This window comes from Homo sapiens, chromosome 7 (assembly GCF_000001405.40).
Source record: "Homo sapiens chromosome 7, GRCh38.p14 Primary Assembly".
Classification (NCBI taxonomy): Eukaryota; Metazoa; Chordata; class Mammalia; order Primates; family Hominidae; genus Homo; species Homo sapiens.
In genome coordinates this window covers 18,730,659-18,756,639 of record NC_000007.14, presented here as the reverse complement: position 1 = coordinate 18,756,639, position 25,981 = coordinate 18,730,659, and the positions used below count along the sequence as shown (strand labels likewise).

The 25,981-nt window shown below is 36.9% G+C and overlaps 1 protein-coding gene across 6 annotated transcripts in view; it reads right to left on the bottom strand.

The window, feature by feature from the left end:
* The window catches only part of HDAC9 (histone deacetylase 9), a 915,592-nt gene that overhangs the window by 245,777 nt on the left and 643,834 nt on the right, over window positions 1–25,981 (bottom strand). For all 6 annotated transcript variants that reach the window (NM_001321868.2, NM_178425.4, NM_001321877.2 and 3 more), the window contains one exon: window positions 7,502–7,635. In NM_001321868.2, coding sequence (NP_001308797.1) covers window positions 7,502–7,635 — 134 coding nt within the window. The remainder of the gene's footprint in view (window positions 1–7,501; window positions 7,636–25,981) is intronic.

Here is a 25,981-nt window from a genome sequence, read left to right as displayed (position 1 = left end):
TTTTAGCCTTAAGATGATAGGATTCTATGTGAAATAACCTTACACGCAATAGAAATGCAATAAAACACGCTTCGCTTTGATTTATGCATTTGCCTTAGGCAAGCAAATAAAATAATTGCAATGATAAATTACTGAGGTTGAGGCCAAACAGGAAACCTGAATAAGGATTTTCAAAAGGAGTCCAGCTATTCCATGATGCTTGTTTCTTATAAGCTTAATCATAATTGAAAAATAAGAGAATTTTTCACAGCTCATATTCCTATCCTGTGACAACTTCAAAATAATAAACGCTTTTAATAATTTTTGAAAATTATGTACGACACTTGTGAGTTAGTGTCATCTTTGTTTCTCAGGTTAATGCTTACTTCTGTTACTTTCCCATCTCCAAATATTTGATTCACTTGCCTATTTGTCTCTATCTCGTTAAGATTATGTTAAGAAGTTGTGTTTCTGTTTCAGTAGTTCTTAACATTGGCTGCACCTTGGAATCAGCTGGGGAAGTTTAAAAGTTACTGATGCCTGGGTCCTACCTTATTACCTTTGTCTGGGTGCAATTTGGGCACCCAGATGTTTCCAACCACCCAGAGGATTCTAATGGGTAGCTTAGGTCAAGAACCACGTGTTAGAGGGAGCTGTCCATACTTACTGCTCATAACTGAGTGCAAGATACTGACACTGTACTGACCAACACTTGGGACTACGGAATGGTTAAAATATTGGTGGACGGAAGGTTGATGAGTAAAAATATTATCAATCTTCAAAATGTTAAGTGCCTTTCATGTGTCTTAATACTGCTTGATTCAGTCACTACGACTTATTTTAAAGTATTTTAGGACATAGAGCCATTTCTAAAGCACTTCAGAAAACAGCAAATCCCAGTTCAATAATAAAGCTCTGAAATGGTGACGAGCATATATACTCTCTATTTTTTTAAGTTTTACTTCCACCTATTTCAAATCACTGTCCTCACCAGAAAGCAAGAAAAAAATGTTATCCCTTAGTCTAACTGCTCAATTTTCACAATCCTTTATGCAACTGAACCCCCTACATTGCAATTATTCTTTCTAAAAATTGTAAATAAATATTTTAATGGTTGAATTTAAAGCTTTGCTTTTTTAAACTGGTCATCATGTATGAAACAAACTTTCAACAAATATTTTTTGTTACTCAAAAACTGCAATTTTCAAATGGGTGAAAATTATATAACTCTTTTTATTAATAAGCTTCAACGCTGCTGTTTCAAAAGCTCTGTATTACTTTCCAAATGGACTCAGAAGAACAGCCTCTCTTATTTCCTTTTGTTGGTTGTTTTCCACATTAATTCTTTCTGTTTAGCAGACATTGTTAAAAGAAATCCTAAATCATTTGACTATAAGGTGTACAATTAGTTTTGGTATATTTATCTGCCTGGGTCCACTCTGTGATATACAAATATCTTTTAGAACAATGACAATGTAGCCTGGTTTACTCATCAAATCTAGATCACTTGTACTTCTTTCCAAGACTGCCATATCCTTTAGAGACAATTCACAGGGTTCCCTGTTTGAGTTTCTCTCTGTTTTGTGGTTAGATTCTAAGGCACAAACACATAAAATTTTTTTTTGCAAACTAAGCAAAACAGTACACTGTTACGTGCTGCCATCTAGTTAGACTACTCTATAAAACAAATGTCTAATTGAATTTCCATTAACTTGCAGTTTTCAGCGCTTTGCAGTCTTGATATCAGAAAACCTGCACATTCCAAAGTGTTTCACCACAGATGAATGTATTTCCTTACTTAGATTTGATTTAAAACAAAGAGGTATTTTACAGTCACCTATGTGTGCAAGAAGATATGCTGGAATCCCTGCTTCTTGGCATCATAAGATTCTGCACTAAACTTGCTCTCCACTTTTCTCATTGGAACTGCCGAGAAGACCCTGAAGGGACAACAGTAGCTTGGTTTTGCGTCCCAGAATTGTTTTGTAATTACTTTGTGTTGGCACTTGAATAAACGAGTTAAACATTTCAGCACTGTATGTTGCTTATGGTTCTTACTTATGAATTAAGCGAAGCAAAGTTATTCAATATTAGTCACAAAAAGGCAACGCAAATTCCACATAATGTGTAATCCAACAAAAGCATTATAAAATGTTATTATTCTCAAAACAAATGTGAGAGCAAGCAAATGTCTGTGGGTGGCTTGGTGGGGCTGGGAGTCATGAGCATTTCTGGAAAAAACAACTGCAAGTGCATTTCTAACAGATGATGGGTCAACCTCCACAATTTTTTTTGACCACAGAAGAGCACATTTCTTTTCTTCAGGAGCATGCACATCTTGGAAACCCAGCTACTTAATCAAATAGCTTGTTTCTGAAGAGGACACCAAATAACCCCTCCAGATCCATTTCTCATGGTGATAAGAAAGCTGCTGGTTTTGCTCTTTGCTCCCAACAGAATCACTAAACTAAGTATGAATGATTCAGTAGGGGAAAAAATTAAGTGGTATTGGCATGAAGGACTACTAACTGCCTCAACTTATTAAAAACAGTGCCACGTCAGGCCAAAAAAAAGTTAACCCATGTAACCACTGTAATCTAATATAATGAGGACTAATGTTTTCTCTGGCTACTAATCAGGATTAGTAAGCAGAGCCAATTTACACTATAGCTTACAAACTAAGAGCAATATGTTTACTGAAACATTCTAAAAATTTAGTCTACTCTTAACCAAAGAGAGTGTTATGTTCCAAAAGAACTGCTTAACACTTCTAGTGTCAGACAGTATTACAGCTGTAAGAGATCCTAGCAAATATCTTGCCTAACACCCTCATCTAAACATAGGAAAACCAAAGATCAGCAAAGTTAAATGGTCTGACAAAAGCACACAGATAATTAATGGCAAAACTAAGGTCGAATCTAATATTGAATGATCATCTTTGAGAGAATACATTTTGATTAATTTGCGACATTGCTAAATGAATTGACATAAACCAAAAGTTTGAGTTGTGGATCAGTCTACTGTTTGGAAATGAAGGAATCCTTTTAGCATTTTCAAAGTGCTATCTCTTCTATTATGTATTTTTTTATTTCATTAATTGTAAAATTGACTGCTCTGTTGGTTGAGGAAAGCTGACCCTTCTCTGTATGTCAGCAGAATTGAGATTCCTTATTTTTTGTCCTGGTCAAATAGTAACCCCAATAAACAAAGAACACAAATGAAAACACAAAGAGGGCAAGTTATTCATCACAAGATCTAGGATATTTTCCTTTTCACACTCTCACATGTAACATTACCTCCTCTGTCTCTTGGTCACAGGGCCCCACTGATGCTGTCAAGACTATAGAGGCAGCTGACCACAATCTTCCTCATTTTTTTCTTGCTCAAGCACAATCAATAAGAGTCTTCAAAATCACAGCAATATAAAATGAATGACTCAAAACCCCTTTGAAATTTGTAATTGTGTATTTATTTGTATGATTGTCTAATTAATGCCTGCTGATCACACCATATAGTAACCTTCTTGAAGACAGGGGATGTATATTTTGTACTCGGTATTGTATCTTCTACTCCTAACAAAGATGCCTGGAAAACTCAAATTCTTGATAAACATCATCGAATGGATACATCACTGTTTTCAACGTGTGGTGTCCAGGCCAAAAGTACCAGAATCACCCAGACACATGTTAGCAACGAGATTCTCTGACCCCACTCCAGACTTACTGAATTAGAAGTTCTGAGTTTAGATCTGAGCAATCTGTGTTTTACCATCCCCTCAGATGATTCTGAAATATGTCAACATTCAAGATACCCTTCTTACCAGAAGTGGCTACACAGACGTGGTGGGAGAATAGTTCCCAAAGACGGCAGACGACTATGTGGATACTGAAAAACAATGCACTGACCTGGCTTGTATGCATTATATTCCTATTTGATTATACCCTTTCCTGTGGAATCTAATAAATCCTCTCTTTTGAAACAACTGAGTTCTTATTTCCCACAACAAAGAGAGGAAATTGTTCATACTGCTTAGGAGAGAATGATAACCTAAGACATCCCGCCTGGTACTCAAATCCTTGGAGTCCCAGTTAGCAGAGATTATACCTCCTCATGTTAGCGTGTTTTAGACACAACTAGGCAAAGGAACAAAAGTTTAACTTCTGATAGCCCCTTCTAGCCTATTTAGAAGTAATGCCCTTGAGCCTTGATTCTCTTTATTTGGGTCCTTGGGGTATCTTGGTAAATAAGTTACTCACACCTGAGCTGGGACCCAACTTCCTCTGTCGAGTGAATAAGTGAACTTCAGTGGGCAGATACTGTCATTATCTTTGATTCCTTTAGAAGGCTCAGAAACACTAACCAGTAGGCTTTTGGGTAGGACCCTTCTTGCGCTTTCAACTAGCCTAAATACCCACCAGGCACACAGATCACTTGCCTCCATGGTGTGCTTTTCTCCTGATTCTTCAACAACTCTGATTCTTAAGACATGTGGCAAATTGCTAAAGTATTTGTTGATAAATTTGTGTTGTATTTTTCACGGCATTCGAAAATAATTTGGCATGAAATAGAAAGTTTAGCATCTTTGTAAGATGGCTTAATAACATAGTAAAATATTTGCATATATACTTAATTTGTCAAATCAAAAATATTAGAAGAAATCTACAAGGAACATATATCAGTTGCTTCCATTGTGTTTAGTAAAAAAAAAATGGACTTGGGAGAGCACTAGGTAGTATTCTACTATTTCTGAGGGGGCTAACCTGGTTTGGAATAATCTCTGTGTGTTCCCTTTTTATTTACTCCCTTACTCTTCTGGTAAAACCAATCAGGAAGAGAAAATAAGTTATGAAAATAGTGTTTCCCTTTTAGTTCTGTTTTATCTCATATTGAACAAAAGGTCTCTACACAAGGGTAACATTTGTTTAGTTAATACTTTCTAAAATTTAATTTTGAATTTTTCTAATATCATTCACACATGGGCAGATGTCCATCTGCCATTAAAGTCCTAGGTATCTTAAAAGTGAATTAATTTTTAGCAGTTTTAGAAGTTCCATTTCATGTTTGGTTTAGGTTAGCATCTCATAATTTCATAAAGTAAATAAATTTATATGGGCAATACTTTCTTCGCTAATATGGGTGTTTTGATAATGTAGGAGCATTATCATATATAATGATAAATAATATCGGCAACATAATCTTCACTTAAGAAAGCAAACACCTGGTGAACTGCCATCAAACTATGTTAGGAAAAGTGGCTTCTATTTGCATTGTTGCCATGTTTTGGATATGATGTTTGTGCTTAATCTTAATTAAGAGCAAATCTGCTGACCTGGGCTTGTGAGTGTATTATTTGTTAATTTTGTGATTAAGTGATACCAAGGAGACTCTATTCTCCTCAAACCCATAGTTGTATGATAGTGTTTCTGACATCTCAACTTGTGTTTGATATTACGTCGGTTAGTGCTATACAAACTGAATTGTATGGTTTCAAATAATAAAGAATGAAAATAATGTAATGTATATAAGCAATTGAAAAAGAAGACTAACCAGAAAAGGATGATAATAGACTTTCTAATTTTTAGACCAGTGTGAATCATATCAAATTCCATTTATTTCTGTACTCTGTTCCTTTCATAAACAGTTCTCCTTCAGGTAATAGGATTTAGGAATACCACTATCTAACAAGGCATTCGAAGGCTATGATCAGCCACTGACAATTTGAAGTAGTTAGGACCAGGCCAGCTGCCGCAGGATATAACACAAACGTGAATGTGAAAAAATGTAAGCAGCAATGCCTCAGCTGGCAAAAGCACACAAAAATTGCAGAGCAGATGAAAAGGTGAGACAGGAATGTTCACATGAATAAATGCATTTTGTCCATTAAGACCAGCCTACCACAAATAATTCTCCTTGCTGGTCTACTTTATGGACTCCATATGGGATTGCATAGAAAAGAGAATGGTTTGGCCTCCAAACTGCAGTATCAGAAACATGAAATCCTTAAAGATAACTCTAAAATTGACCAGAGTATGAAAGCCTTCTGCCATACAATATGAATGCCACTGGCAAAAAAAAATGAGTAATAGACTTGCACTGAGGAAAGGACCAGATAAATAAATCTAGTTCATTTTCCTTCACTTTGGGGTTTCTAGGTAAAGGATACATTTAATCAAAAGCAGAGCTTTAAATATGAAAACTGTTTGATAATTCTACCATAAATATATAATAAAACTTGTGAGACTAAATCTGTACATGGTGTTGTGGTATATTCATTCACAATCTCAACTACTGAGCGATCCATAAGACACTACCAATGTTTTGATGTTTTTAAAAACCAATTAATTTCCCTTGTAACATAGAATATATTATCCACCCTTTAAAGAAACAAATCCATAAAGAAAATTTTTTTATCCATAGAAATGAACAAACTGAATGAATGGCTTTGCATCTTCAAAAGTCAATTATTTTTAGTAGTTTGCAGAGGAAGGGGATCAGATTGATGTAACTCACACTATCATACGTAGGCAAGTGCACTTGACCTGCTGAAAAATTCTGTCTGCTTTGGCATTTCTATTTCAAGTAAAATATTTTACAGACTCAGTTTAAACCTAAGTTGAATTTGAATAGGAATTTTGTTGACTACATTTTGGGACCATATTTGTCTTGTGAAATTTTATAATTCCAGTACTTGAATCATGTTTAGAACCTAACAGAGACCCAGTAAAAGAAATAATTAGTAAATGTTAAAATAATGTGAGAAAACCCATGAAGGGCATTTTTCTTTTAAAAATGCCTTAGATTCAAATGCAGAATGTTACTGGATTTCAGACAACAATGGACATTTATAGCAACTAAATCGAATAGCAGCTGGTTGTTACATATTTTGCACATTTGATGATGGGAGCCTTTCTGAATTGATATGACTGTTGTTTTTAACCTTTGAAAGCATAAAAAGGTATATTTTTCCAAATAAAAATGGTATTCACCAAGCGCCTACTGAAATGAGTTTAAAGAAATAATGATAAAATCAAAGTATTCAAATCCCTTCATCAAGTTATAAACACATCAATCATTTCAATAAAAAGAAATGACTTTTAGTGGTAAGAGGACAGTTGATATTTTAAATTGATTCATTTCCATGTGGCAAAATTGGCATATATCTAAATCCAAAGTTTAGTTTATAACCAAAAATAATAATTACTTAGCAAAGAGTTTCTCAGAAGATCAACTCAATAAATAATGTCTGTTTACAAACAGTGCTACCATGTATATGTAATAATACTGCAGCATTGGAACACACACATCAGGCAGCTGCTCAGCTCATCAACACTGACCAAGTACTTACAGTGTGCCCCGCCCAGAGTCAGGTGGTAAGCTCTGTGCTACCTGAATCTATGATGGTTCATCAATCATGGTGTTTGCACTATATGGTTAATATTTTTCTATTACTCCCCAAATGAATACTGGCCTCTTTACATGATTTATTTAAGTAAGTAAAAGAGTGTGTCCAATTCTGGATTACCTCACATTTATTTAGCAGCCCAGTTTCTTGCAGTCGTGACCAGATACTCTGTATTCGTCCAGCATGCTCAGGGTGGGTGGTGGAATTGCCACAAACGCACTGGTGTTTCAGCATCAAGGGGTCATAGGCAATTCCTTTAAGACAAGGGAAATACAGGACAAGATTGAGTAACAGTACAAGATAATGACACATGTTAGGAGATAATATGATAACTCCAAAAAAGTCATTATTCTTAAAATAAATTTAACAAAGGAGGAAATATCACAAAGCAAATTCTCAGGAGCACATAAGAACTATTGAGACCTGTCTATCTGGATATTTACTCAAAAACACGAACTTACGCATTAACCAGTACTCAGACCCTAGTTTAGTAAATCTGTAAAGTGATGAAGATGATGACATTTTAAGACACTTCAGATTTTAAAATATACATATTGTAATCTTACCAGTATTTTAAATCATTATGAATTGTTTTTAGGCAGATAATTTAATTCAGTAGAGGTTTTAATTTCACCACACCATTGGAGCCACTAAACAAGCTGTCTCTTTAAATCTTCCATGAGTCATTCTAGCCTGACTTCAGATCAAGGTTTCATTTTTGTAATAAAACGGAAGATTTTCCCACTCTGCCTATCCTGTTTAGTAATTTCTTCAAGGTTGTTCAAAAACAGTTTCTTTGTTTATTTGTGTTTCTCCCCATAATTTATGTCATTATGTAACCAATATGGATGTTGTAGATCTTATAATATCGTGGGGCATTTAAAGTGTTTCTTTTAAAAAATAAATGTAAATTACAATGCCACTACTAGAGATTATACAGATACTAATGAATACAATCTTCTTTTAAATTATCAAGTATTAGCATATTTCATTTTCAAGTAAGCCTTATGATGGGAAAGACTGTATAATAACATGATAAGATGAATTATTAGCAGAACTTAAAATAGGACTTTTTAAAGCAACAAGTTAGATGATAATTATAACTCTGGCTCATTTAAAGAAGATTTCTACCCATAAACCTATTCCTTGAGGTGGAAACATGTTACTTGCAAAATTGCCTGACATAAGAAATTATTTAACAAATCAAATGTCTTCCAATAAATGACCATCGAAGTATATTTGTAGATGGGGAGAACACCCATTATAAGAAGTTTTACAACAACAACCAAAAAAAATCTTCAGGAATAGATAAGCACCAGTAATTTATGCTGTAAAAGAAGTTTAATAAAGTACATTTTATTCTCCTTTTGGCTTACATTATTGTGTTAAAGAAATGTTACTCAAGAGAAGAAAATATTTTTCCTTGAGTGTGCTCAAATAATGCAGAAGAATGGCACCTGCATTTTGAAACCATGTGGTAGAAATTATGTCTAACAAAAGAATATAATTTTACCATTCCAAATAATATCTATTCTTAGGACTCAAATGGCTTCAAACTCTATCCTTCTTCCCCTGATTCTCACATTTTCATCCTCAGGACTGACCTCCCTTATGAGCAGCTTACTTACACACTTCCCCATTGAATGATCCATCCAAAATCTCCACTTAGTTGTCTCATGGTTTTCATAAAGTGAAAATGTCTCTGATTTTTAATTCATGATCTTAAACCACACACGATATTACCCATGTTTACAAAAGACATCAAGATCTGCCATTGTTCATACGAGAAACCTTAATGTCCCCTTGACGCTCCCCCTCCAAAGAACCAAAGCAGTGTCTGTTTTCCCTCCAAAACAGATCTTGAATTATTCATTCTCCTTATCTCCACTGCCAAAACCATACACAATCCAAGGTGTTATTATCTCTAATCTGGACTTCTGAGATTGCCTTGTAATGCAGAACCTGACTTTCACTCTATTCCATTTGCCACACAACAGTCGCCTCTTCTGTTTAAATCCTTCAGGGCCTTCACTAAAGAGACTGAAATTCCTCCAGGCCAGCATACATAGGCCCCTCCCCATCTTTCCAGCTTCAATTCATATATCTCCCTCTTTTGTTCTCTATTTCGCCTACAAAAGCCTTCCTTCCTTTCCTCAAAAAGATCAAAATCCTAGCAGCCTTGTGACATTTATACATGCTATTCCCTCTATGCCGGAAATTCTTCCTTCTTGACCTCCATAACTCCAGTCCTCATTTGGCTAATCTTTTTTCACTCTTCAAGGCTCAGTTTTTAATGTCACCTCCTCTACCAAGCATACCCTGAGATCTCTAAATTAGGTCTCCTACTATATACTCTCTTAGCATCCTCTGGATCTCCTTCAAGCATTTGTCACAATTATATAATTGTTGTATAATTTTGTTAATTGTATATTTTCTTCATTAGATGGTGAGATCTTTGAGAGTGCAGATGATAGTCGTGTTTTTACCTTTGAAATTTCAGTGGCCATAAACAAGCTTAAATAAAGCCGGTCCTCAAAAAATATGTTTTAATGAGTGAATGAAAACTGTAAATGAATGAATGTATCCCAAAAATAGGTCAGATATTTCCACTAAAGCTTTCCTCAATGAATTAATTGGTGGATCTCCTTGGATTCCTGAAGGGTAGTCTTACTTGTTTAATCTTCTACCTTTTATTTTATGTCCCTTATCTTCCTACCCTAAGTGCTTCTAATATAGGCATTTATTTTACTTAGCTTTATATTTCTACATGGAATTTCACAAAGTCCTCTTTTTACATTTTCTATAAAGTCCAATAAGGATAAATATTTTTAAATAAAGTCAGAAGGAAGACATTAAGGAAGGCAGAAAAGGAAGCAGGCAAGCAGGAAGGAAGAATAACATTTAAAATACAGAGATGTGTAAGACGTGTCTTCACAATTTAAATATATCAAGTATTTATGAGTTACTACTATATAAGAAGAACTGTTTAACATTTTTTTCAACTATAGTTTCATAAAATAAAAAGTGATAGTTTAATAACATGGAAACAAAAAGTATAACATCCACCTCATTTTGAAAATATATTTTTGGCCAGGTACGGTGCCTTACACCTGTAAGCCTAGCACTTTGGGAGGCTGAGGCAGGAGGATTGCTTGAGCCCAGGAATTTGAAACCAGCCTGAACAACATAGGGAGACCCTGTCTCCACAAAAATTTTTAAAAACTAGCCAGGAATGGTGGTGTGCCTGCTGCTGGTGGGAGAATTGCTTGAGCCCAGGACGCCAATGCAGCAGTGAGCAGTGATTGAGCCACTGCACTCCAGCCTGGGCCACAGGGTGAGAACTTGCATGGGCAAAAAAAAAAAAAAAAAAAAAAAGAAGAAGAAGAAATATATTCTTCAAGAGTAGAGAGTCGGGCCGGGCACGGTGGCTCACGCCTGTAATCCCAGCACTTTGGGAGGCCGAGGCGGATGGATCATGAGGTCAGCAGATCGAGACCAACCTGGCTAACAAGGTGAAACCCCGTCTCTACTAAAAATACAAAAAATTAGCCAGGCGTGGTGGCGGGCGCCTGTAGTCCCAGCTACTCGGGAGGCTGAGGCAGGAGAATGGTGTGAACCCGGGAGGCGGAGCTTGCAGTGAGCTGAGATTGCGCCACTGCAGTCCGCAGTCCGGCCTGGGCGACAGACCGAGACTCCGTCTCAAAAAAAAAAAAAAAAAAAAAAAAAAGAGTAGAGAGTCTAATCATTACATTGCTTAACTTTTTCACTATTTCATCTCTTGACATATCTAAGCTTACCTCTGTAGTAATGTTTCCCCCTTTTAATGACATTTTCCCCATAATCCACTGCCAAGAAAAATAATTGTGAAACAGGTAATGGTAGCTGGGAATTTTTGCCAGGTACCTAGAGATTATAATTCAAAGTCCAGGGGCTCTTGGAAGGCCATTTGAATTTAAAGGGAAATATATACAATCTGGAACCCCAAACTTCCACTGACTCATCCTAATGATGTATCACTGAGGTGTTAACAGGTAGACTGGAAAATGAAACTTTAACCTCATCCTTCATCTTCATTCCTTCCCTCTCTCTTTCATTCTCTCTCTTTGGCTTCTCAGAAACATGGACTTATAGGGTGAGAAATAAGCCTGCTCTTTTCTTTGCAATTCATATGGAATTCTACTTTTGTTTGACCCTTTCTGGCTCACTGATTACCATTTGCAATATAACATAAGCCAATAGATTAATTAATTTTTCTCCTGATCAGTGGGACAAGAGTTAAAATTAGAATTTGAAAAATACACAAAGGAGCCTTAAAATATTTACCTGCATTTTAAACAACAGTTGTTTGTTTTCCACATATATACGTATATATGTAGAAAATACGTATTATATATATATTTTTTTACATACAAGAAATCCTTAAAATTTCTTGATAAATTTTTTAGATAAACTTGGACTTTGTGCTTTCTCTTTCTCTCAGTCTTATTAAATGAGATAATGTATTTGTAGCATCTAGTGTAGTATCTTTCCTTCTTTATTGCATGTAGTTGTCATTTTTTAGCCATATAATCTATTTCTGTCTTCAAATTTACACTCAGTCTAGTAAGACCTATTAGTCTGAGTCTATAGAGTCTTTATAGACAATTTATCTTGTCTATAAAGAAAGCTGAGTTTAGAACATTTGGACTAAAATTATTGATCCTGATTTGTAGTTCCTAACATTCAACTTCATATTGCATTTCTGGGAACTACCTGAGGTTTCACACCTCCCAAGGTGTTTGCTAAACAACACTTATTAAACTCCTTCTAGGGCAAGGGACTGGACAAAGGACTAGCACAGCACAAATATATATGACATGGCATTCTCCTGGAAGATGCAGAATCAGTAGACAGTTATTGAATGCTCACTATGTTCCAGATTCTAGCAGCTTCATTTTACCACATTTAACTTAAAATCTAGTAGTAAAGGCCGGGCGCGGTGGCTCACGCCTCTAATCCCAGCACTTTGGGAGGCCAAGGCGGGCAGATCACTAGAGGTCAGGAGTTCAAGACCAGCCTGACCAACATGGAGAAACCCCGTCTCTACTAAAAATACAAAAAATTAGCCAGGTGTGGTGGTATATGCCTGCAATCCCAGCTACTCAGGAGGCTGAGGCAGGAGGATCGCTTGAACCTGGGAGTGCTGTTGCACTCCAGCCTGGGTAACAAGAGCGAAACTCCATCTCAAAAAAAAAAAAAAAAAAAAACTAGTAGTAAAAGTGAGATGTAAAAATATGACACTTTTGAAAACTCTGCTAAAGAAAAAATTTGTGAGGCTAGAGAATCAAAGATCTCCTAAAAACACAAAAATTTTTTTAAAGACGGAATGATCTTCAAATGGTAGAATTACTAAAAAAGATAAAAAAAGCTATTCTGAAACAAGGTTCATGTCTAATGACCGTCAAATCTCATGCATAGTGGCTGTTACTATTTCTATCCATAATGCTAATCTATCCATAAGACTTACGGTGTCTTATTTTTTTAATTTATTTTTTAATTGTTTAATTTTAATTTTAATTTTTTTATTTTATGTTTTTAGAGACAGGTTCTCACTCTGTCACCTAGGCTGAAGTGCAGTTTATATTTTACTATCTGCAATTTTTTTTTTTTTTTGAGACGCAGTCTCACTCTGTTGCCCAGGCTGGAGTGTAGTGGTGTGATAACTATCTGCAGCATTTTTTAACAAGAACACAGAACTCAAAGTACCAAACAGTGTAATTTTTAAATTATTTGTGAAACTTGATGTATCCAGCAAGCAAATGATATAATGCCTAAAAATTCTGTTTAAAAAAATTGATAAATTGTATCTCTCACTAGATAAGAAGCATTTTCTAAACCTTACAGCTTTGTGTTTGTCTGTTTGTCTTTTTTTCATGTAAGTCATCTTAACAGAGTATCAGACAGCTAGAAAGGAAGTGGGTAGAAGAAATTCCCAACATAAGCCTTCCAACTAACACTATATGAGTGTCTGTTAAGGCCTAGGAATTAGATTAAGTGTTGCCATTTAACTGTAAAGCCAGGAAGGAGATTCAACCAGCATGTAAGTTGGCAAAAAGTGAAGCCAAACACAATTCACTACACATTTGCTGGCAAAATATCTGGAAAGCTTTTCTACATTCAAGAATGAGTGAGAAAAAAAAACAGGGCCGTTGAGAATATACTACGGATATTATGAAGAAAATATCATTCATACTGCTTCGTTCAGTGAACATGATTTACTATAGGAAGCAAAATAAGATTTTAGAAAATGTTTTGTTCTCTTCAAAAGTCAAAAGACACTGGTCCTATAACATCAGAGACCAAAGCTAAAGGCAGAGATAGAACTAAATTAAAAAGACAATGGAATGAATAAAAATAAAACTGGATATGATAAACAGGGATTGCAAGGAAATTAAAGAGTAGCAAAATTAAAATCTATACTGGAGGCAATAAAGAAAGGAATTTACATTTCAGAAAGCCAGATCAGCGCTATTGAATACAAACTTGAGAAGCCTCCAGAATATAAAGGAAAGGACTACTAGATGTACATAATAAGATGAAAATACAGTGGTCAGAAAAAAAAAATAACCAAATAAAAAGTTGTAATTGCTCCTGAGGAGGAAATCTGACTAACCAAATACAGGAATACCTGGGACATATTGCTGGTTAGATTCCAAATCATCCGAATAAAGCAAATATCACAATAAAGCAAGTCACATGAGTTTTTTGGTTTGCTTATGCTTGTAAAAGTTATGTTTACATTATACTGTAACCTATGAAGTGTGGAATCATTGTGTCAAAGAAACCAATGTACATACCTTAATTAAAAATTAATTTATTGCTAAAGTGCTAATAATCATCTGAGCTTTCAGTGAGTCATAATCTTTTTGCTTGTGGAGGGTCTTGCCTTGATATTGATGGCTGCTAACTGATCAGGGTAGTAGTTACTGAAGGCTGGAGTGGCTGTGGCAATTTCTTCAAACAAGATAACAATGAAGTTTGCAACATCCATGAAATCTTCCTTTCACAAAACATTTCTCTGTAGCATGGAATGCTGCTTAGTATTATAGCATTTAACCGATAGTAGACCTTCTTTCAAAACTGGAGGTAATCCTGTCAAACTCTGCTGCTGCTTTATCAACTAAGTTTATGTAATATTCTAAATCCTTTCTCGTCATTTCAACAATGCCCACTGCATCTTCACCAGGAGTACACTCCATCCCAAGAAAACATTTTTCTTGCTCAACCCCTAAGAAATAACTCCTTATTAATTCAAGTTTTATAATGAGATTGGAGCAATTCAGTGATATATTGAGGTTCCATTTCTAATTCTAGTTCCCTTGCTACTTCTGCAGTTAGTTCCTCCATTGAAGTATTGACCCCCTCGAAGTCATCCATGAGAACTGGAATCAACTTCTTTCAATCACTTGTCAATGTTGATATTCCTCCCATGAATCATGAATGTTCTTAATGGCATCTAGAATGGTGAATCCTTTCCAGAAGGTTTCAATGTACATTGCTCAGACCCATCAAGGGAATCACTGTCTATGGAAGGTATAGCCTTATAGAATGTATTTCTTAAATAATAAGATGTAAAAATTTAAAAGACTCCTTGATCTATGGGCTGCAGAATGGATGCTGTGTTAGCAGGTATGAAAACTTAATCTCATTGCACATGTCCATCAGAGTTCTTGGGTGACCAGGTACACAGTCAATTAGGCAGTCATATTTTGAAAGGGAACTTTTTTTCCCCCCTGAGCAGTAAGTCTAAAAATTGAGCTTAAAATCCTCAATAAACCACACTCTAAACGGATATGCTGTCACCCAGGCTTTGTGGTTCCATTTATAGAGCACAGGTAGAGTAGACTTAGCATAATTCTGAAGGGCACAGTATTTTGAGGAAGGGAAATGAGCACTGGCTTCAACTTAAAGCCACTAGCTGCATTAGCCTCTAACAAGAGAGTCAGCTTATTCTTTGAAGCCAGTCATTGACTATTTCTCTCTATCTCTTAAAGTTTTCTCTCTATCTCTTCTTCCAGTGAAAGGCTCTTTCATCTACAACGAAATTTGTTGTTTAGTGTAGCCATCTTCACCAACGGTCTTAGCTAGACTTTCTGGAAAACGTGTTGTAGCTTCTACATCAACACTTGCTGCTTTACCTTCCACTTTCATGTTACAGAGACGGCTTCTTTCCTTAAACCTCAAGAGCCAACCTCTGCTGGCTTTCAACTTTTCTTCAGCAACTTCCTCACCTCTCTCAGCCCTCATAGAATTGAAGAGTTAGGGACTTGCTCTGGATGAGGTTTTGGCTGAAGGAAATACTGTGGCTGGTTTGATCTACCAAGACCACTAAAACTCTCTCCATATGAGCAATAAGGCTGTTTTGCTTTCTTATCATTTGTCTGTTCACTACAGTAACACTTTTAATTTCCTTCAAGAGCTTTTCTTTTCTATTCACACCTTGGGTAACCAGCACAAGAGGCCCAGCTTTTGCCTATCTCAGCTTTTGACATGACTTCCTCACTAAGCTTAATCATTTCTAGCTTTTGATTGAAATTGGGAGACATGTGACTCTTCCTTTCACTTGAACACAAAGGGACTGTGGGTTTATAAATTGGCCTAATTGGACTGTGGGTTTATAAATTGGTCTAAATTCCCAGTGTCTCTGGGAATAGAGAGGGCCAAAAAGAGAAAGGAAGATGGGGCCATGCCCGCTTAGTGGAGCAGTCAGAACACACACAATATTTATCTACCAAGTTCACTGTCTTGATTGGGTGTGGTTCATGGTTCCCCAAAACAATTACAAGAGTACTATAAAAAGATCACTGATTGGGTCCATTCCAAAATGGCCAAATGGGAACAGCTCTGGTCTGCAGGTCTTCTGTGATTGACACAGAAGATGGGGGATTTCTGCATTTCCAACTGAGGTACCTGGTTCATCTCAATAAGACTGGTTGGAGAGTGGGTGCAGCCCACGGAGGGCGAGCTGAAGCAGGGCAGGGCATCACCTCACCCAGGAAGCACAAGGGGTTGGGGGATTTCCCTTTCCTAGCCAAGGGAAGCCATGACAGACTGTACCTGAAAAACGGGACACTTCTGCCCAAATACTGCACTTTTCCCAAGGTCTTAGCAATCGGCAGACGAGGAGATTCTCTTCCGTGCCTGGCTTGGCAGGTCCCACGCTCATAGAGCCTTGCTCAGTGCTAGCAGAGCAGTCTGAGATGGAACTGTGAGGGAGCAGCCTGGCTGGGGAAGGGGTGTCTGCCATTGCTGAGGCTTGAGTAGCTAAAACAAAGCAGCTGGGAAGCTCAAACTGGGCAGAGCCCACTGCAGCTCAGCAAGGCCTACTGCCTCTACAGACTCCACCTCTGTGGGCAGGGCATAGCTGAACAAAAGGAAGCAGACAACTTCTACAGACTTAAACGTCCCTGTCTGACAGATCTGAAGAGAGAAGTGGTTCTCCCAGCACGGCATTTGAGCTCTGAGAATGGACAGACTGCCTCCTCGAGTGGGTCCCTGACACCCATGTAGCCAAACTGGGAGACATCTCCCAGTAGGGACCGACAGACACCTCATATAGGCAGCTGCCTCTCTGGGAAGAAGCTTCAAGAGGAAGGATCAGGCTGCAATATTTGCTGTTCTGCAGCCTTCACTGGTGATACCCAGGCAAACAGGGTCTGGAGTGGACCTCCAACAAACTCCAACAGACCTGTAGCTGAGGGACCTGATGGTTAGAAGGAAAACTAACAAACAGAAAGGAATAGCATCAACATCAACAAAAAGGACATCTACACCAAAACCCCATCTGTAGGTCACCAACATCAAAGACCAAAGGTAGATAAAACCACAAAGATGGGGAGAAACCAGAGCAGAAAAGCTGAAAATTCTAAAAGCCTGAGTGCCTCTTCTCCTGCAAAGCATTTCAGCCCCTTGCCAGCAATGGAACAAGGCTGGATGGAGAATGATTTGTCAAGTTGACAAAAGTAGGCTTCAGAAGGTTGGTAATAACAAACATCTCTGAGCTAAAGGAGCTTGTTCGAACCCATCTCAAGGAAGCTAAAAACCTTGAAAAAAGATTAGATGAATGGCTAACTAGAATAAACAGTGTAGAGAAGACCTGAAATGGCCTGATGGAGCTGAAAACCATGGCACAAGAATTTCATGACACATGCACAAGCTTCAATAGCTGATTTGATCAAGTGGAAGAAAGGGAATCAGTGATTGAAGATCAAATTAATGAAATGAAGTGAGAAGACAAGGTTAGAGAAAAAAGAGTAAAAAGAAATGAACAAAGCCTGCAAGAAATATGGGACTATGTGAAAAGACCAAATCTACATTTGATTGGTGTACCTGAAAGTGATGAGGAGAAGGGAAACAACTTGGAAAACACTCTTCAGGATACTATCCAGGAGAACATCCCCAACCTCACAAGGCAGGCCAACATTCAAATTCAGGAAGTACAGAGAACACCACAAAGATATTCCTCAAGAAGTGCAACCCCAAGACACATAATCATCAAATACACCAAGGTTGAAATGAAGGAAAAAGTGTTAAGGGCAGCCAGACACAAAGGTCGGGTTACCCACAAAGGGAAGCCCATCAGACTAACAGCGGATCTCTCTGCAGAAACCCTACAAGCCAGAAGAGAGTGGAGGCCAATATTCAACATTCTCAAAGAAAAGAATTTTCAACCCAGAATTTCATATCCAGCCAAACTAAGCTTTATAAGTGAAGGAGAAATAAAATCCATTATACATAAGCAAATGCTGAGTAATGTTGTCAATACCAGGCCTGCCTTACAAGAGCTCCTGAAGGAAGCACTAAACATGGAAAGAAACAACTGGTACCAGCCACTGCAAAAACATGCCAAATTGTAAAGACCATTGATGCTATGAAGAAACTGCATCAATTAATGGGCAAAATAACCAGCTAACATCATAATGACAGGATCAAATTCACACATAACAATATTAACCTTAAATTTAAATGGGCTAACTGCCCCAATTAAAAGACACAGACTGGCAAATTGGACAATGAGTCAAGATCCATCAGTGTGCTGTATTCAGGAGACCCATCTCACCTGCAGAGACACACATAGGCTCAAAATAAAGGGATGGAGGAAGATCTACCAAGCAAATGGAAAGCAAAAAAAAGCAGGGGTTGCAATCCTAGTCTCTGATAAAACAGACTTTAAACCAACAAAGATCAAAAGAGACAAAGAACACCATTACATAATGGTAAAGGGATCAATTCAACAAGAAGAGCTAACTATCCTAAAGATATATGCACCCAATGCAGGAGCACCCAGATTCATACAGCAAGTCCTTAGAGACATACAAAGAGACTTAGACTCCCACACAATAATAATGGGAGACTTTAACACCCCACTGCCAATATTAGACAGATGAATGAGATAGAAGGTTAAGAAGGATATCCAGGACTTGAACTCAGCTCTGCACCAAGCGGACCTAATAGACATCTACAGAACTCTCCACCCCAAATCAACAGAATATACATTCTTCTCAGCACCACATCGCACTTATTCTAAAATTGACCACATCATAGGGAATAAAGCACTCCTCAGCAAATGTAAAAGAACAGAAATCACAATAAACTGTTTGTCAGACAACAGTGCAATCAAATTAGAACTCAGGATTAAGTTCTAATTAATTCTAATGAAAACTATATTCTAATCAAAACTGGACAACTACATGGAAACTGAACAACCTGCTCCTGAATGACTACTGGGTAAATAACGAAAAAAAGGCAGAAATAAAGATGTTCTTTGAAACCAGTGAGAACAAAGACACCACTTACCAGAATCTCTGGGACACATTTAAAGCAGTGTGTAGAGGGAAATGTATAGCACTAAATGCCCACAAGAGAAAGCAGGAAAGATCTAAAATCAAGACCCTAATATCACAGTTAAACGAACTAGAGAAGGAAGAGCAAACAAATTCAAAAGCTAGCGGAAAGCAAGAAATAACTAAGACCAGAGCAGAACTGAAGGAGATAGAGACACAAAAAGCCCTTCAAAAAATCAATGATCCAGGAGCTGGTTTTTTGAAAAGATCAACAAAATTGATAGACTGCTAGCAAGACCAATAAAGAAGAAAAGAGAGAAGAATCAAATAGACGCAATAAAAAATGAAAAAGGGGATATCACCACCAATCCCACAGAAATACAAACTACCATCAGAGAATACTATGAACACCTCTATGCAAATAAACTAGAAAATCTAGAAGAAATGGATAAATTCCTGGACACATAAACCTTCTCAAGACTAAAGCCGGAAGAAGTTGAATCTATGAACAGACCAATAACAGGCTCCGAAATTGAGGCAATAATTAATAGCCTACCAACCAAAAAAAGTCCAATACCAGATGGATTCACACCCGAATTCTACCAGAGTTACAAAGAGGAGCTGATACCATTCCTTCTGAAACTATTCCAATAAATAGAAAAAGAGGGAATTCTCCGTAACTGATTTTATGAGGCCAGCTTCATCCTGATACCAAAGCCTGGCAGAGACACAACAAAAAAAGAGAATTTTAGACCAATATCCCTGATGAACATCAATGTGAATATCCTCAATAAAATCCTGGCAAACCGAATCCAGCAGCATATCAAAAAGTTTATCCACCACGATCAAGTCAGCTTCATCGCTGGGATGCAAGGCTGGTTCAACATACACAAATCAATAAACGTAATCCATCACATAAATGGAACCAACAACAAAACCACATCATTATCTCAATAGATGCAGAAAAGGCCTTAGACAAAATTCAACAGCCCTTCATGCTAAAAACTCTCAATAAATCAGGTATTTATGGAATGTATCTCAAAATAATAAGAGCTATTTATGACAAACCCACAGCCAGTATCATACTGAATGGGCAAAAACTGGAAGCATTCCCTTTGAAAACCAGCACAAGACAAGGATGCCCTCTCTCACCATTCCTATTTAACATAGTGTTGGAACTTCTGGCCAGGGCAATCAGGCAAGAGATAGAAATAAAGGGTATTCAATTAGAAAAAGAGGAAGTGAAATTGTCCCTGTTTGCAGATGACATGATTGTATATTTAGAAAACCCTATCGTCTCAGCCCAAAATCTCCTTAAGCTGATAAGCAACTTCAGCAAAGTCTCAGGATAGAAAATCAATGTGCAAAAATCACAAGCATTCCTGTATACCAATAACAGACAAACAGAGAGTCAAATCGTGAGTGAACTCCCATTCACAATTACTACAAAGAGAATAAAATACCTAGAAATACAACTTACAAGGGATGTGAAACACCTCTTCAAGGAGAGCTACAAACCACTGCTCAAGTAAATAGGAGAGGATGCAAACAAATGGAAAACCTTTCTATGCTCATGGTTAGGAAGAACCAATATCGTGAAAATGGCCATACTGCCCAAAGTAATTTATAGATTCAATGCTATCCCCATCAAGCTACTATTGACTTTCTTCACAGAATTGGAAAAACTACTTTAAATTTTGTATGGAACCAGAAAAGAGCCTGCATAGCCAAGACAATCCTAAGCAAAAAGAACAAACCTGGAGGCATGATGCTACCTGACTTCAAAGTATACTATAAGGCAACAGTAACAAAAACAGCATGGTACTGGTACCAAAACAGTTATGTAGACCAATAGAACAGAACAGAGGCCTCAGAAATAACACCACACATCTACAAACATCTGATCTTTGACAAACCTGACAAAAACAAGAAATGGGGAAGGGAGTCCCTATTTAATAAATGGTGCAGGGAAAACTGGCTAGACATATGTAGAAAGCTGAACTGGATCCCTTCCTTACACCTTATACAAAAATTAACTCAGGATGGATTAAAGACTTAAATGTTAGACCTAAAACCATAAAAACCCTAGAAGAAAACCTAGGCAATACCATTCAGGCCATAGGCATGGGCAAGGACTTCATAACAAAAACACCAAAAGCAATGCCAACAAAAGCCAAAATAGACGAATGGGATCTAATTAAGCTAAAAAGCTTCTGCCTGGCAAAGGAACTACCATCAGAGTGAACAGGCAACCTACAGAATGGAGAAAAATTTTGCAATCTACCCATCTGACAAAGGGCTATTATGCAGAATCTATGAATAACTCAAACAAATTTACAAGAAAAAATCAAACAACCACATCAAAAAGTGGGTGAAGGATATGAACAGACACTTCTCAAAAGAAGACATTTAGGCAGCCAACAGATACATGAAAAAATACTCATCTTCACTGGTCATCAGAGAAATGCAAATCAAAACCACAATGAGATACCATTTCACACCAGTTAGAATAGCAATCACTAAAAAGTCAGGAAACAACAGATGCTGGAGAGGATGTGGAGAAGTAGGAATGCTTTTACACTGTTGGTGGGAGTGCAAACTAGTTCAACCATTGTGGAACACAGTGTGGCGATTCCTCAAGGATCTAGAGCTAGAAATACCATTTGACCTAGTGATCCCATTACTGGGTATATACCCAAAGGATTATAAATCATGCTACTATAAAGACACATGCACATGTATGTTTATTGTAGCACTATTCACAACAGGAAAGACCTGGAATCGACTCAAATGTCCATCAACGATAGACTGGATTAAGAAAATGTGGCGCATATACACCATGGAATACTATGCAGCCATAAAAAAGGATGAGTTCATGTCCTTTGCAGGGACACGGATGAAGCTGGAAGCTGGAAACCACCATTCTCAGCAAACTATCACAAGGACAGAAAACCAACCACCACATGTTCTCACTCACAGGTGGGAATTGAACAGTGAGAACACTTGGACTCAGGGCGGGGATCATCACACACCAGGGCCTGTCTAGAGGTGGAGGGCTGGGGGAGGGGTAGCATTAGGAGAAATACCTAATGTAAATGATAAGTTGATGGGTACGGCAAACCAACATGGCACATGTGTACCTATGTATCAAACCTGCACGTTGTGCTCATGTACCCTAGAACTTAAAGTATAATGAAAAAGATCACTGATCACACATCACTATAATATATAATAATGATGAAAAGTTTTGATATATTGTGAGAAATACCCAAATGTGACTCAGAGACAGGAAGTGAACACATGCTATTGGAAAAGTGGCACCAATAGACTTACTCAATTCAGGATTGCCACAAACCTTAAATTTTTAAAGTAAAATGTAATAAAACAAGGTATACGTGAAATAGGACTAATTGAGGATATTTCCGTAAGTAGAAAAAAATTTGTGCATTGATAAGTAATTGCAAATGTTTATCACAAAGATGATTTTTTTAAATTAACAAGATAACAAAATATGTCTTATCTCCAGAAAAGAAAAACCAGGCTTCCCACAAAGAAACGCATATCAGGTTGGCCTCAGACTTCTACTCTTCAGTGCTAAACCCCTTGAACATTTGATCACATTTCCAGACTTTTCAGACAAAAAACTTGTGTCCCAATAAGTCTGTCTTCAAAACATGTGTGAAGGTAATAGGATGAAATTCTTAGGTATAAAAAGCATACCCCCAAAAAAATATATATGTGTGTGTATGTATGTATACATATGAGATACACATAAATAATATGTATTATATAACTATATTTATAAATATATTTTCTACATTAATGTTTATGTTATGATATGTGATACATGATATATGTGATCAAGTTGAATTAATCTCCTAAATAAAGAAGATAGCTCTTTTTATCTTCTTCAGTGATTATTAGATGAGTAAATTTTGGAAGAGTTTTTTGAAAGAAATTTCAAGCATATATATTTGAGGACAGCAATTTAAAAAATAGATTTCCTGACAAAAGAAAAAATTAGTCTCTCTATTCTAATATGAGTAATAACAGAAGCTACTCTAGAAGGCCTTAACACAGGCATACATACACACACACATACACATATATACATGTGTATATATACATTATATACACATATATACACATATATACACATATATACCTGTGTATATATACATTATATACATATATACACATGTATATATGTGTATATACGTATAGACACATGTATACACGTGTATATATGTATAGACACATATATACATGTGTATACACGTGTATATATGTGTATACATGTGTATATATATACATGTATACACATATATATGTATATATACACATGTATATATGTGTATACATGTGTATATACGTATATACACATGTATATATGTATATCTGTATATATACATATATACACACATACACATGTGTATATACACATACACACACATACACATGTGTATATACACATACACACACATACACGTGTGTATACACATACATACACACGTGTGTATACACATACGCACACGTGTGTGTGTACACATACGCACACGTGTGTGTGTACACATACGCACACATACACACGTGTGTGTACACATACGCACACATACACACGTGTGTGTACACATACGCACACAAACACACGTGTGTGTACACATACGCACACATACACGTGTGTGTACACATACGCACACATACACGTGTGTGTGTGTACACATACGCACACATACACGTGTGTGTGTGTACACATACGCACACATATACACGTGTGTGTGTATATATACACATATGCACACATATACACGTGTGTGTATATACACATATGCACACATATACACGTGTGTGTATATACACATGCACATATATACACGTGTGTATATACATTATATACACATATATACACATACATACAGTGTATATATGTATATACACATATATACACATATATACACTGTATATACACACATACAAATATACACACATACTTTCAGATAGACACATACACACATGCACATAGATATGTATACAAATACAAATCACTTTTCTTTATTCTATTAAAGAGAAGCTTATAGAGTAAAAAGTATTGATTGAAAAATAAGTATAAACATATTTTAATAGAGGTTACCTCTGAGTGGGAGAATAATGAGTGACTTTCCATTATAATATTCTAGATTTACCAAATTGCCTTCAATGAACTTGTATCAATTTTTATAATTCTCAAAAGTATAAATGTTACCACGAAAGTTCAATTAATATATAACAGTTATCTCAGGCCCAGCTCAGTAGCTCACACCTGTAATCCCAGCACTTTGGGAGGCCAAGGCGGGTGGATCACCTGAGGTTGGGAGTTGGAGACCAACCTGACCAACATACAGAAATCCCGTCTCTACTAAAAATACATGTATTCATATTCACCAAATATTTAGTGATAAAGTTTAAATTCAATTATGTCTTTTGTTTGGGGGAAAAACTTACAGTATAGTCTTAAGAATATCATTTTTTTAAGGCTGGGCCTGGTGGCTCATGCCTGTAATCCCAGCACTTTGGGAGGCCGAAATGGGCGGATCACCTGAGGTTGGGAGTTCAAGACCAGCCTGACCAACATGGAGAAACCCCGTCTCTACTAAAAATACAAAAATTAGCTGGGTGTGGTGGTGCATGACTGTAATCCCAGCTACTAGGGAGGCTGAGGCAGGAGAATCACTTGAACCCGGGAGGCGGAGGTTGTGGTGAGCCAAGATCGTTCCATTGCACTCCAGCCTAGGCAACAAGAGCAAAACTCCGTCTCAAAAAAAATTATCTTTAAAAATAATTTTATGCAATTTATGCCTACTTTCTGCTCTCAGGAAATAGAATGAAGACAGCATCTTTCCAAAACTGACTAAACTCAGATAATATTTCTCCCTTGGAACATTTTTTGTTCTTGTCAAAAAGGGAGTTGTGTGCCTAATCCAGTGGGCTGTGGAGGATGCACATGGATGGTGAAGGTTTAAATGATGTGCATTGAAAATTATGTGACTTTTGTGTTAAATAACTTCTTAGTAGCACCAAAAAGTATAGCTCTTAGAGGATAGATTTAAGCCAGCCGCCTAGCTTTATAATGTGTCTGTGTCCGCTACCTTGCTATTTAGTGGAACAGCTATTGAGAATGTGAGATCGTATGAGTTTATTTTAAAAAAAAAATACAAATACAAATAGCCTCTCCCCTCCCCCATCTGCAGTTTCTCTTTCTACAGTTTCAACTATGGTTTGAGAATATTAACTGGAAAATTCCAGAAATACACAATTATATAACAACCAAATTCTAAGTTTTAAATTGCGCATCATTCTGAGCAGCATGTTGAAGTCTTACAGTGCCCCACTCCGGCTTGCCCAGGATGTGAATTATCCCTTTCTCCAGCAGCTCCATGCTCTCTATGTCACCTGCCCATTAGTCATTTAGTAGCTGTCTGGATGACAGGTTGACTGTGGCAGTGTCACCAGTGCATGCTTTTAATTATTTTTTACTTCATAATGGCTCCAAAGTGCAAGAGTAGTGATGCTAACAGTTTGGATGTGCCAAAGACAAGCCTTAAAGGGCTTCCTTTGAATGAAAGGTTTAAGTTCTTGACTTAAGGAAATTTAAAAAAAAATCATATGCTAAAGTTGCTAAGCTCTACAGTAAGAAGGAATCTTCTATCCCTGAAGTTGTGATGAAGAAAAAAGAAATTTGTGATTGTTTTCTGTCCCACCACACCTCACACTACAAAAGCTATGGCCACAGCATGTGAAA